Genomic DNA, 14665 nt, shown 5'->3' with positions numbered 1-14665 from the left:
ACGTTGTTGGGTTTTTTTGTTTTGGGGGTTTTTGTTTTTGTTTTGAGACAGAGTCTTGCTCTCTTGCCTAGGCTGAAGTGCAATGGCATAGTCACCATTCATTGCAGCCTTGACCTCCTGAGCTCAAGTGATCCTCCTACCTTTGCCTCTCAAGTAGTTGGGACTACAGGCCTGTACTACCACACTTGGCTAATTTTTAAATTTTCTGTAGAGACAGGATTCTCCCTATGTTGCCCAGGCTGATCTTGAACTCCTGGGCTCAAGCCATCCTCCCACCTCAGCCTCCCAAAGTGTTGGGATTACATGCGTGAGTCACCATGCCTCGCAAAGTTGTTCTTTTATAATTGTGGGTTTTGTTCTCTCTTTGACATAAGTGTATTGGGTCATGAATATTTTAATATAGTCATCTCACTTAAGAAAACTTTGAAAAAATACCTTGTGTACCATTTCCTTAGGTTTTATAGCATATGTTCTGTTATCAGTACTCAATGAATGCCAAACAACAGTGTGGAAAATTGTTTCCAATCAGAAGCAACTAAAGCATGTATAGGTAATTTCATGGAATTTAAAATATCCATTCTCAAACTAATAATGTTATAAAATGGGGGCCATAATATGATAAATCTTTATATAATTCAGTTCAACAAACTTTTTACATGCTCTGAGCAAGGAAATATTTCTCATACTGTTTTTGTTTGTTTGAGACAATCTTTAACTCTGTCATCCAGGCTGGAGTGCAGTGGAGAGATCTTGGTTCACTGCAACCTCTGCCTCCTGGGTTCAAGTGATTCTCCTGCCTCAGCCTCCCAACTAGCTGGCACTACAGGCGCACACCACCATGTCTGGCTAATTTTTAAAAAAATATTTTTAGTAGAGACAGGGTTTCACCAAATTGGCCAGGCCGGTCTCAAACTCCTGGCTTCAAGTGATCTATCCACCTTGGCCTCCCAAAGTGCCGGGGATTACAGGCGTGAGCCACTGCACCTATCCCTAATACTGTTTTAAGAGCACAAAGTAGTATCAGGATTACAAAAATTCTTAATGTTGTTGCATTCTAAAATAGTTTTCCACAGAATATTAGTGCCTTTCTGGGTGGAAACTTCCATACGTGTATGTGCTAAACTTTGAAAATCAAAAGGTTTTATTTTTTAATAAAACAAAATTTTAAATATATACACATCGTTATTATGTACATATTTTAAACAATGATTTTAGGGTTGAAATAGTGTAGCCAGAAGTAAGCCCTATTTCAGAAATACGAAGTTCTGGTTTTAATTTTTAGGTCATCCTAAGGAATGAAAAGCTGAATATAAATGATCATTTTATAGCCCACGCTAAAAGGCTCCCCATGTAATATGAAAATAGAAAGGAAACATGAACTTTTTTGAATCAAAAACTTTGTATCTCTTTTTAATATAACAGCTTTATTGAACTAGAATAAAACCATTCATGCTATTTCCATATTAATTTTTTTACTTCATTATTTCACTCCAAAAAGCCAAAGGAGGCAAGTTCATATAGTTGGGAGATTAAACATGTAAATGGATGTGAAGAGTCAGAATATAAATATGAGGAATGGCTGGAAACAGTCAGCGTGCATCCTGCCTTTCTCATATACGTGCTGTTTTCCTGTCTCCCAGCGTTGATGCCTTACCTGGACATTTCGAGGCTAAAGCAGTTGTTGAACTCCAGAGCATTATCAAGTCTTCACAGCTTAAAAACAGGTGCAGATAACTAGTAAATTAATTTGATATATGTCGATCTATGGATTAATATCAGTCTTTTTTATCCACACTCTCTTCAATTAAAAAAGTAGATTCAAACATTAATTTTTGATCAGTATTTATCATTTGGGTCAGGTCCTAAATGATGATGGGGAAAAGAATTGATAATTCAACAGAATATTTTTTTTTTTTTGAGACAGAGTCTCACTCTGTTGCCCAGGCTGAAGTGCAGTGGCGCGATTTCAGCTCACTGCAACCTCCGCATCCCAGGTTAAAGTGATTCTTCTGCCTTAGCCTCCGGAGTAGCTGGAATTACAGGCACGCACCAGCATGCCCAGCCAATCTTTGTATTTTTAGTAGAGATGGGATTTCGCCATGTTGGCCAGGTTGGTCTCGAACTCCTGACCTTCAGTGATCCACCTGGCTTGGCCTCCGAAATTGCTGGGATTACAGGTGTGAGCCACCGCGCCCAGCCCAACAAATTTTTTTAAATACAGTATGTATCAGCTGGGCGCGGTGGCTCATGCCTGTACCCCAGCATTTTGGGAGGCCGAGGCGGGCGGACCACCTGAGGTCAGGAGTTTGAGACCAGCCTGGTCAATATGGTGAAACCTATCTCTACTAAAAATACAAAAATTAGCCGGGCTTGGTGGTGGGCACCTGTAGTCCCAGCTACTCTGGAGGCTGAGGCAGGAGAATCTCTTGAACCCGGGAGGTGGAGGTTGCAGTGAGCTGAGATTGTGCCACTGCACTCCTCCAGCCTGGGCCACAGAGCGAGACTCTGTCTCAAAAAAAAAAAAAAAAAAAAAAAAAAAAAAAAAAGACAGTATGTATCACAGTTTTTTAAAAAACATAATTTTGGCCATCTTTTCTATCAATATTCATATATAGTCAGTTCTCATTATTTGTGCTAGTTATGTTCTATAAAATTACAAATAACTACCTAATCAAAGACTGAACCATTCCTCCTAGAGGGAATACAGGCTTAGGTTCCTATGAGCTTTTTTAAATAAATCATGTAACCTTGTTATATGTGTGTTTCTGTTCAAAGATGCCGTATATATATTAAAATGTAAATGGAATGAAGTCCTTCAGAACATGCAGGTATATTTGACTTTATGGTAGAGATATGGTCCTTGGAGCTTGACCATATAAAAACTTGATGTGCAGCAAATCCTATTTTCCCATACGTTCTTATTCAGGTGGCTCTTAGTTTCCTATTTCCAAGTGGAAACAATAGCAGTTGCTAAATAATGCAGAAATTGATATTATCAATTGTTATTGCCACCCTGAACTGATATGGTATTAATTTTGGCAAGCAGGTGAATTCATAAATATGGAATTCAAAATAATGAGGAGCAACTCTGTGTGTGTGTGTGTGTGTGTGTGTGTGTGTGTGTGTGTGTATGGACTTATTAATGATGATGTTTATAGTAATGAATGTTGCAAAGTGCCTTCTAGGCTAACCACAACAATAGACAAAGATTCTATTTTAGGTTTCCTTAGCTCTCTTGCCAGTGTCCCTCAAACTTGACACTCTTATGTGAAGCTCCCCTTCCTCCTACTCTAGGGAGGAAGAAAAAAGGGAAAAAGTCTCCATGTTTGATATTGTGACAAAGAAGGAAGTCAACCCCCACCCCCACCCCATCTTCTATCTTTTGAGTCCTGGTGATTTGAGTAATTCCTGTGTGGAGACCAGCTTCCTGCCAAATTCTCATTTAGAGGTTATTTGAAGAACAATTGCATCTTAGGGTTTCTTAGTTTATTTTGTGTTGCTATAACAGTACCACAGATTTGGTAATTTATAAAGAAGAGAAATTTACTTCTCACAGTTCTGGAGGCTGGGAGGTCCAATACCAAAGTGCTGACATCTGGCAAGGGCCTTCTTCTTGCTGTGTTATCTCATGGTGGAAGGCAAGAGGCTGAGAGAGGGTTAGAGTGAGGGAGAGAGAGAAACTCACTTTAAAAAGACAGTGTCACTCTTTTGCCCAGGCTGGAGTGCAGTGGCACAATCCTGGCTCACTGCAGCCTTGAACTCCTGGCCTCAAGTGTTCCTCCCTACTTCAGCCTCCCAAGTAGCTGGGACTACTGGTGCTCAACAGCGCCTGGCTTTTTTTTTTTTTTCCTTTTGTAGAGACAAGGTCTCACTGGGCTTAGACTGGTCTTGACAGACTGGCTTTTATAACAAACCCACTCCCATGATGGTGACATTAACCCCTTCAGAGGGCACAGTCCTCATAACCTATTTACATCTTAAAGATCCCACCTCTCAACACTGTTGCATTGTGGATTAAGCTTCCAACACGTGAACTTTGGGTGCATATTCAAACCATAGCATAGAGTATCATCTGAACAGGCTGGATGTAATGCCAACCACAGCCCTACTACCAGAATTCAGACCTTTTATAGTGCTTCTCTCTCCTTCCAGCTACTTAGAACAAGCTACTTAGAACAAGCCCAGCTTTACTTGTTTCTCTTTCTCCCCCCTAACACTCAGTATTATACTTCAGAAGCTTGGTAAGAAAGGGGAAGATGATATCTCTTATTGACTTGTTTCCTTTTAAGACCTATTTAGATAGATGAGTTAACTCCATTGACTCAATCACTTGGTTTTACTTTGAGAGTTAATAATTTCCACCAGTGTCCAACATTTTGGCTTCCCTGGGCCATATTGGAATAAGAATTATCTTGGGCCACACATAAAATACAATAAAACTAACAATAGCTGATGAGGTTAAAAAAAAAAAAAGGTCTGTGCATAACTTTTGTGATATCCGCCACCACAGATAAGCAAAATAGTCCTCACATTCAAAGGGTTGGACACTCATGATCCTCCTAATTTAACAGTTATGTTGCTTAGTATGGAAGCATACTGACTCTCTGAACCCTAACAGTTGAGCATGAGCATGATTGTTGTAGTATACTGATTATAAGCATGGGTACTGTGGTAGGCAGCATCTTGACTCCCCAGAGATGTCCATGTTCTGTGAATTCTCGGAACCTTTGAATATATTAGGTTACATGGTAAAGAGGAGTTACAGTTGCAGGTAGAGTTAAAGTTCCTGATAAACTGATTTTGAAATAGAGAGTTTATCCTGGCTTATCCAGGTAGGCATAATAGAGTAACAATGGTTTTTAAGAGTGGAAGAGAAAAGCAGGAAAGTCAAGGAAATGTAACAACAAAGCAGCATCAGAAAGAGACAACATTCCAGGCCTTAAAGGTGGAAGGAGTCTGTGAGCCAAGGAATGTGGGCAGCCCCCACAAGCTAGAAAGGGCAAGAACTGATTTTGTCTTTGAATCTCCAGAAGGAAATGCAGCCCTGCTGACACCTTGATTTTAGTCCAGGGACACCGGCGTCAGACTTCTGAACTGTAAGATAAATACGTTTGTATTGTTTTAAGCCACTAAATTTGTGGTAATTTGTTGTAGCAGCAATAATTAATAGACACTGAGCTGAAATATTCTGAGTTCATTCTCAGCTTCTGGCTCTGTCACTTACTAGTTTTGTGACATAGAACCAAAACCTATTTAACGTCTCCAGCCTTAGTTTCCTCATCTGTAAAACAGAGATAATAACAACACATATCTTCAGTGGTTATTGCCTGGATTAAATCAGTTAGTGCATCCAATGTACACACTTAGATACATCTTTATTATTTATATTTTAATATGGTGAGCATATAGAAAACTTGTAATGAAAACAATAATTATTCATCTTAATTCTTCTTAAATATGAGAATAAATTAGACATTTTATTTAGTAACTGTCCCATGGACATTTAAAATTACAAGAAAAGTTTGGCCATATGTATGACAACATGTGTGTTAAAATGAATATTTTTTTGCCAGTATGAAATTTGGGGAAATTCCGTCGTATTATGCCTGTTTTGCTTAATGTAAGGAAATGGATTTTTCTAATTATCCTCAAAACAAAAAAGCTTTTAGTGTTTATTGCATGTTACAAATATTAATAACATGAAAAATTAATGAGCTAGGTGCGGTGGTTCACACCTGTAATCCCAGCACTTTGGGAGGCTGAGCCAGGTGGATCACCTGATGTCAGGCGTTCAAGACTAGCCTGGCCAACATGGTGAAACCCGTTTCTACTAAAAATACAAAAATTAGCTGGGCATGGTGGCAGCGCCTGTAATCCCAGCTACTTGGGTGGCTGAAGCAGGAGAATTGCTTGAACCTGGGATGCAAGGTTGCATTGAGCTGAGATTGCACCATTGCACTCCAGCCTGGGCAACAGGAGTGAAACTCTGTTTCAAAAAAAAAAAAAAAAGAGAAAAATTGATACATGTAGAAGCTTAGAAAAATCTGTTGGGGGTAGGGAATGGGAAGCAGATACGCTATGAGCTTACAGACTTCTCACTTTTTTCTCCTGGTTTTTCCAATTCAACTCAATTGAGCTTTCAGATTCAATTTTGTTATAACATTGCATTCATATTAATTCCTTTAGAGCTATAGGTTATGTGATTATTTTTTCCGTGTGTGTGTGTGTGTGTGTGTTTCCCCTACATAACCAAGAAGAGTTTTCTGTTCAGTTTGGAACAAGATTTTGAGAAGACATTTAGGATGTACTAGTTTGAGTTTTTAAATGTATATTTGAGATATTTTCTCAACTTTCTCTTTGGGTCTGTAGCTAAAATATGCAGTATAATGTTTTATTTATTTATTTTTTAAGAGATGGGGTCTAGCTATTTTGCCCAGGCAGACTCAAATTCCTGGGCTCAAGTGATCCTCTGCCTTGGCCTCCTGAGTAGCTGGGACTTACAGACATGTGCCACCAAACCTAGTGGCTATATAATTTTTAAAAATATTCTTAGGATATCTTTACATACTTTTCTTAAAAAAAAAAAAGTTAACCTTTGTAGTCTGTTTGCAGCATTAGCTATTGAGATCAGAAATTCAGAAAGTTAGCCGAGCGTGATGGCTCACGCCTGTAATCGCAGCACTTCGGGAGGCCAAGACAGGTGGATCACTTCAGGTTAGGAGTGGCTAATATGGCGAAACCCTGTCTCTACTAAAAATACAAAAATTAGCCGGGCATGGTGGTGCACACCAGTAATCCCAGGTGCTTGGGAGCCTGAGGCACAAGAATCACTTGAACCCAGGAGGTGGAGGTTGCAGTGAGCCGAGATTGTGCCGCTGCACTCCAACCTGGGTGACAGAACGAGACTCTATGTAAAATTCAGAAAGTTAAAATTAGAAAGAAAAAATAATCCTTTTTACATGTTTTATATTGATGTCACACATTTCCCATTCATATAAGATTTAAAATCATAGATGTGTAACTTTAAACTTGTGACTAATTAATAATATATTTTTATTACAGCTAATTCACTTAAGTAAAACAATTCTCTTGAAATGTTAATAGCCTTTACTGAGTAGATGGAGTAGTGAGCCCTAAGTATTTTGATTGCCCAGACTGTCTCATTTTCTAGGACCTTTCCTATCATCTCATGGTTCAGGTGGGATCTGCCATGTTCCATCAGTGACCCTGCCTCTTGGCTGGAGAGGGCTGACCCAGAGGGAGGCGGCTGATCCAAGCTGGGCCAGGGTCCTTTAGGAATTAGGAATTGATATTTTATGGTTCCTCAGCCTAGCTCTAAAATGAAAATACTAACTCTGGGACTATTGCCAGCCATGTTTTACCTTATGAAGAGCCGAAAAGGCCATTGTGCCACAGGAGAGAAGAATGAAGCACATGAGCATAGTAGCAAAGATGAAAGATGAAGAGAGACTAAGATAAAACACATGGAGGTGGTGAAGGAGAGATGGGAGTGGGGTGGAGAGAGGGACCAGGTAGTTGGGGAGAGGAGAGAAAATGGGGAAGCAAGGGAAGTGATGGAAAGACCAGGAGAAACAGAGAAGAAATGAACCAAATTTCCAGAACATGGGTTGCTGGTTCTAGTTTCTCTTATGACCCTGAATTCCATGAGGCACTCCGATAATGTTTATAAAAAATCCCCTTTTTGCTTAAGCTACCTCTAGTCAGATTCTGTCCTTGAAGCCATAAGTCTTAACCAAGGCAAACACTGCTGTCATTCGGGTATGTGCTATGATTGCTTTGCATATGATATCAGTTAATTCTTACAACCTTGCAAGATAGGTATTATTCCTCCAAAAAAAAAAGGAAATTCAGTCTTAGGAAAGATAAAGTAATTTGATCAAGGATCACAGTAGCTAATAAGTGACAGAACCAGAATTGAAATGTGTGTCTGACTCCAAAGTCAGTTTGTATTCATGATCTGTAAAAATATTCATTGGGCATCAGCTATGAGCCAACACTAGGCTAAGCTACAAGAGAGAAATTTTTCTTGTCTCAAAGTTTGTAGCTCAGAGAAGGATAGAAATAAACAGGCAGTGACAATTCAGTGTCATAAATGGTGTGGGGGCAGGAATAAAATGTACTGTGTGAGCACATGGGAGATCAAGGAAGATTCCTTGAACGTTTAAGCTAAGACCTGAAGGTTGAGTAGTCACAAGCCAAGCGTAAGGAAAGAGGGAGGTTGTGCCAAGCGTTTATGAAAACAGTATGGTACATTTGAGGATCTAAAAGAAATCAAGAGCCAAGAGAGGTAAATTAAGCAAATCATACAAGGCCCTCTTATTTTTTTTTTTTTTTTTGAGACAGAGTTTCACTCTCGTCCCCCAGGCTGCAGTGCAATGGCGCGATCTCGGCTCACTGCAACCTCCATCTCCCAGGTTCAAGCAATTCTTCTGCCTCAGCCTCCTGAGTAGCTGGGATTATAGGTGCCTGCCACCACTCCCAGTTAATTTTTTGTATTTTTAGTAGAAACGGGGTTTCACCATGTTGGCCAGGCTGGTTTCAAACTCCTGACCTCAGGTGATCCACCCACCTCGGGCCCCAAAGTGCTGGGATTGAAGGCGTGAGCCACCGCCCCTGGCCAAGGTCTTCTATTTTATGTTAAGGAGTTTGGACTTTATATTGGGAGAAAGAGGGGGCTGGACCATCAAAGGCTCATAATTAGACTTTCTTTTCTAGAGAACACAAACATTTTTCACATTATAGCCAGGAAGGATTGGAGAATTAACACTGTAGAAGGATGGAAGTCAGTTAAAGAGGCTTTTGCAATAATCCAGACCGTAAATAATTAGTAGTCAAGGGAAGTTTCAAGGGAAGTATAGGCAACCCTATAGAACAAGTAAGTAGTTGGGGGAGAAATGGAAGAATTCTAGAGATTACAGGGCAGTATGGTCAGGTCCTGGTGACCAATTGGCCATATAGGGCACAGGAAGGTATCTTAGTCCATTTTCAGAATACTTGAAACTGGCTAATTTATAAAGAAAAGGAATTTATTTCTTACAGATCTGGAGGCAGAGAAGTCCAAGGTCATGGGGTGGCATATGAGAAGGGCTTTCTTGCTGGTAGGACTCTTGTCTACAGAATCCTTAGGTGGTGGAGGATATCACATGGTGAGGGGGCTGAGTGTGCTATTGTGCTAAGCTAAGATCTCTCTTCCTCTTATAAAGCCACCAGTTGTACTCCCATGATGACCCATGAATCCATTTATCCTTTAGTAATCCATACATGGATTAATTTATTAATAAGGGTGGAGTCCTCATGATCCAATCACCTCTTAAAGGCCTCCCTTTCAATACTGCCACACTGGAGATTAAGTTTGTGTTTTTGTTTTTGTTTTGGAGACAAAGTCTCATTCTGTCGCCCAAGCTGGAGTGCAGAGGGCAGTGGCATGATCTTGGCTAACTGTGACCCCCACCTCCCTGGTTCAAGTGATTCTCCTGCCTTATCCTCCCAAGTAGCAGGTGCGTGCCACAGCGCCTGGCTAATTTTTGTATTTTTAGTAGAGACAAGCTTTCACCATGTTGGCCAGGCTGGTTTCGAACTCCTGACCTCAGGTAATCTACCCTCCTCAGCCTCCCAAAGTGCTGGGATTACAGGCGTGAGCCACTGCACCCAGCCTCTTTAGTCTCTCTTAAAGAGATTTAAGAAAAAAAAAAAAAAAGGACTACATACATTGTTATAGAAACAAGTGGATGATGTTTTTAAAGTTTAAAACCCCAATTAAAGAAGAGTACGTGCAGTGCCTGAGGAGCATTTAATTGACATAAGGGCTTGAAAGTGGTATCTAATTGTTTACTGTAATTTGCTGGTCAAAAATCTTGACAAAAGACTGGAAGTAAGGTGTGAAAATCTGAGAGAATAAAGATTCTTGAGATAGGTATATGGTCAGCTTATTTTTTGAGTTGACTGGATTTGTAGAGGGAATGATACATAATAGTACTTGATAGGTGCCTTTCTGCCAACAAACTGCCTTTAATAATTGCCTAAGGTGGCTGAAAGTAATTAACTGTTACCTGGGATCTGCATAATTCAGATCTGTTCTGTGTTGAATTTAATACATTTTTTAAAAATCTTGAGGCTTTAATTTGTAAGTTATTTTTGTTACTATAATCTATAACAAAAAAAATTATTCTATACATTTCTTTCTTTCTTTTTTTTTTTTTTTTGAGACAGGGTCTCACTCTGTCTCCGAGGCTGGAGTGCAGTGGTGCGATCATAACTTACCGCAGCCTTGACCTCCCAGGCTCAAGCTGTCCTCCCACCTCAGCCTTCTGAGTAGCCAGGACTACAGGTGTGTACCACCATGCTTGGCTGATTTAAAAAATTTTTTGCCGGGACGGGGGTCTCCTTTTGTTGCCCAGGCTGGTCCTGAACTGCTGGACTCAAGTGATTCTCCCACCTCAGCCTCCCAAACTGCTGGGATCAGCCACTGCCCCCATCCATAAAATTCCTTACATATTCTTTACATCAGGCTCTTCTCATGGCTGATCCTATATCAGACTTCATTAAAGAAACTACGAGGTTCCAGGAATTTAGAAGGAGTTGGGTTACTTTAAGGTCAATTGTTTGTATATCTAAAAGGCAGAAAAAAGAAAAAGATGGTAAAAAATTGGTACCATTACCGACCCCTGCAAGATCAGTTGTCCATTGCTAACATTTCTTTTCTCCTTCGACTCTTGGAAAATGGAGTTCTTTGTTTGCTTTTACAAGACAAAGTGTATGCCCTTTAGTAGTCTGCTGCTTCCTTCTCTCTGCCTATGTTTTCTCTTTTATGGTCCTGCCTATCCTTTGTGCTTTATGCTTAAGGGAGGGGATTTATAAATGAAAGAGAAAAATCATAGACTACGGCCTGTAGAACACCGTGACCTATGGAAATTGTTCATGTTTTATGAAGTTAAGTCTCTAAATTTATTTTTCTAGGATTTCCTAAAGATTTAAAACTTGTATGTAAATTGGAGCCATCTGGGCAAAATGCCAGACTAGGGCTATTCCTTCCAAACTAGATAGAGCATGTAATGTCACAATTAGTTAACTTATTAGAGTTCATTTATAGGAATAATGTACATTTAATTTTTTAAGAGGTTCAGAAATGTGTTAAATCATTTGAAAATTTTTAGTCACTGTTACTAATAATAAGGCAACATTGTCATGCTGACAGGCAGGGTGCTGTTTCCAAAGTTAGTAGATTGTGCCATAGGTTGAGCAGTGGATTTGGCTGTAAATAATGTTATCATGTTTGTTACATTTTCTAAAGGGCTAATATTTAATAACTTACCAATGAACAAAGAATGCTATACACAAGGCTTCCCTGAAGATCGTATGGGTAGTAGAAAGAATGCAGTATAGAAGTCAGAAGACCTGGTTCCTAGTTTTGCCTACTTTTAGCCCCCTGTCCTTGAGCAAGGCATGTAATAACCTCTCTCCATTTCAGTTTCTTCAAATGTAAAATGTAGAGATTATGCCTACTTGTCCTGGTAACATATTGGGATTATTTTGGGATCAAATTAAATAATAATAACAAAGAGCTTTGAAGACATAAAGCACTGTCAAAGTGTAAAATTGTATTAAAGCAAAATACTTTAACAGTGTAACACTGTACAACATAATGTGTGTGTACAACATAATAATGTGTTAACTGTTAATGATTGAGCCAGATACATTATAAACTTATTTCAAATTTGTTATAGCTTTACTAAACATGCTGCTATAAAGTATGTTCTGATATAGGTAATTCTTTTTTTAATTTTTTTTTTTTTTTTTTTTAAGCCAGAGTCTCACTCTGTTGTCCAGGCTGGAGTGTAATGGCGTGATCTCAGCTCATTGCAACCTCCGCCTCCTGGGTTAGAGCAATGCTCCTGCCTCAGCCTCCCAAGTAGCTGGGATTACAGGCGCACACCACCATGCCTGGCTGATTTTTGTATTTTTAGTAGAAACAGGGTTTCAGCATGTTGGCCAGGCCGGTCTTGAACTTCTGACCTCAAGTGATCCGCCTGCCTCAGCCTCCCAAAGTGTTGGGATTACAGGCGTGAGCCAATGCACCCGGCCTGATATAAGTAATTCTGATAGATGACCACCTAACATAAAGTTGAAAATTTTTCATATGACTTATGGAGTTGATAAGTTAGGAAATAGTTGGAAAACCTACAAGTATTTCTAGAATTTTTGTTAGGCTTGGCTTTTTGGAGGAGGGAAGAATATAAATGTCTGGCAGGTTGTTGAATAGAATTAATCAGAATCAAGTTACAATTCAGTGGTTTATTTTTCCAACAAAATTAAATGAATGTCTTTATATACATATATAAAACAATTAGTGCTAAATAGAAGGAAATAGAAGATCCTTGAGTCATAGGCTCTGTTCCTTGTTGCTGTTTTAGCCTCCTCCCCTTCTTGTTCTTCTATGTTGTACTTCACCAGCACCAGACTACTTACAACTTAAAACCCCACTTTGTTCCCTCTTGTTTATGAGCTTTTGCACATCCTGCTGCCTCTGCTTCAGAAATAATTTCTCGAGCAAAAGAATGAAAAAAATTAATAATTGCCCCCTGATTTTTGTGGTTAATGTCTAATTGGCCTTTTTGTTTTTCATAACCACAAATACATGTTTTGGAAGATTAGTAGATGATAGGGAAAGCGTATTAGAAAAGTAAGTTGGGGAAGTTAACCTGGAATGCCTGGTTAAGGGTTGAGGTTTTATTTTGTAGGTTGTAGGAAGCCCTTGACAGGTGTATCCAAGGGAGTGTTACAGACAGAGTTCTACTTTATAAAGATTGTTAGGCAGTCAACATTTTAGAACCTCCTTGGGTTGGATTGGAGGTTAGGAATCACCATATATTGTCAGATTATGAGGCAGAATTGTAGAAACGGGTATGATTAGGATCTGAAAACAGCCAGGCAAGCATTCATTCATGTAAAAAATATTAATGCTTTTTATGTTTCAGACTGTCTTCTAGGTTCTGGGGATACAGGAGTAAATGCACTAAATCCTACTCCTCCAATACACAGAAAATTAAAGAATGCCTTACAAGTCAATAAGAAAAGGACAGACAACCCTATAGAACAATGGATAAGTGTCTTGAACAGACCTTTCACAAAAGATAATGTCCGGTAAACATATGTAAAGGTGCCACTTCATTAGTAATTATGAACATAAAATTAAAATCACAGTGAGAGACTCCTACACACCCACCAAAACAGATACATTTTAAAAGATTGGCCAGGCGTGGTGGCATGAGCCTGTAATCCCAGCTACATGGGAGGCTGAGGCACGAGAATCACTTGAACCCCAGAGGCAGAGGTTGCAGTGAGCCAAGATTGCATCACTGCACTCCAGCCTGGGCGACAGAGGGAGACTCCATCTCAAAAAAAAAAAAAGATCGAGTATACCAAGTATTGATGATGTAAAGCAATGGTAATTCTCATGCTTGCTGGTGAGAGTATAAACTGCTATAGCTACTCTGGAAAACTGTTTAGCAGTGCAAACACTTTGACCCAGCAATCTATTGCAAGGTTACATCCAGTAGAATATGCATACATGCGTACCAAGGAGGGCTCGGGAATGTTCATTGCTGTCATTATTCTAATAGCAAAAAAACTGGAAACAATTCATATCCCTTACCTATGGTATATTCATATAAAAGAATGCTACACAGAAGTGAAAACAAAGTACAGCTGTTCCTGATAATAGAGATGAGTCTCAGAAGCATCGTTAAGTGAAAGAGGTCAAATACAAAATAATGCATTATATATGATTCTATTTTTTTTTTTAATTTATTTGAGGCAAGTTCTCACTCTGTCACCCAGGCTGGAGTGCAGTGGCACAATCACGGCTCACTGTAGCCTCTATCTCCCAGGCTCAAGCGATCCTCCAACCTCAGCCTCCCAAGTGTCTGGGACTACAGGGGTATGCCACCATGTTCAGCCAATTTTTTTACTTTTTGTAGAGATGAGGTCTCATTATGTTGCTCAGGGTGGTCTCAAACTCCTGGGCTCACACAATCCTCCTGCTTTGGCTTTCCAAAGTGTTGGTATTACAGGTGTGAGCCACTACATCCGGCCGTGATTCCATTTATGAGAAGCCTTACAAGCAGGCAAAACTTAAACTGTAATGTTAGAAGTCAAGGTAATGGTTAAGAGGAACTGAGCAGGGTTAATAGCATGAGATGGGCTTCTTGGGTGCTGACAGGGTGTCTTGGTCTGGGTGGTGAGTACATTGGTGTTGAGTTTATGTAATTCATTCACTTGTACATTTATTTTTCTTTGTACTATATTTCAATAACTTTTTTTAAATTTGCCCACATTTACATGCTGTGGAAGAGAGCCACCATTATCAAAATGATCACAGTTGCAAACATTCGTGCTTCAAATACCAGCCACTATGTTAGGTGTGTTTTTTATATATGTATATATTTACTCATTTAATCTTCACAACTCTATGAGGTTTACTTTTATATTTTACAGATAAGGAAACTGGGACACAGAAAGGTTGAGTAACTTGTTGAAGTTCACCCAGCTAGTAAGTGACGGACTCAGACTTTGCACCCAGACACTCTGTCTCTGACCTCTATGCTCTTAACTGTTCTGCCATACATACAATAAGCTGGGAGTATGC

At 39.5% G+C, this 14665-nt stretch overlaps 1 protein-coding gene across 9 annotated transcripts in view; it reads left to right on the top strand.

Annotated features, from left to right (window-relative positions):
* YES1 (YES proto-oncogene 1, Src family tyrosine kinase) overlaps window positions 1-14665 on the top strand; it is a 91166-nt gene that overhangs the window by 23127 nt on the left and 53374 nt on the right. The window contains exon 1 of one of the 9 annotated variants that reach the window (XM_017025960.3): window positions 14514-14569. The exons of the other annotated variants lie outside the window; for them this stretch is intronic. The gene's annotated coding sequence lies outside the window, so the exon portion shown is untranslated. Of the gene's footprint in view, window positions 1-14513; window positions 14570-14665 lie in introns of those variants that run through there. 9 annotated transcript variants of the gene reach the window in all.

The sequence above is a fragment of the Homo sapiens genome, chromosome 18 (genome assembly GCF_000001405.40).
Source record: "Homo sapiens chromosome 18, GRCh38.p14 Primary Assembly".
NCBI lineage: Eukaryota > Metazoa > Chordata > Mammalia > Primates > Hominidae > Homo > Homo sapiens.
This window is presented reverse-complemented; position numbering and strand designations above follow the sequence as displayed.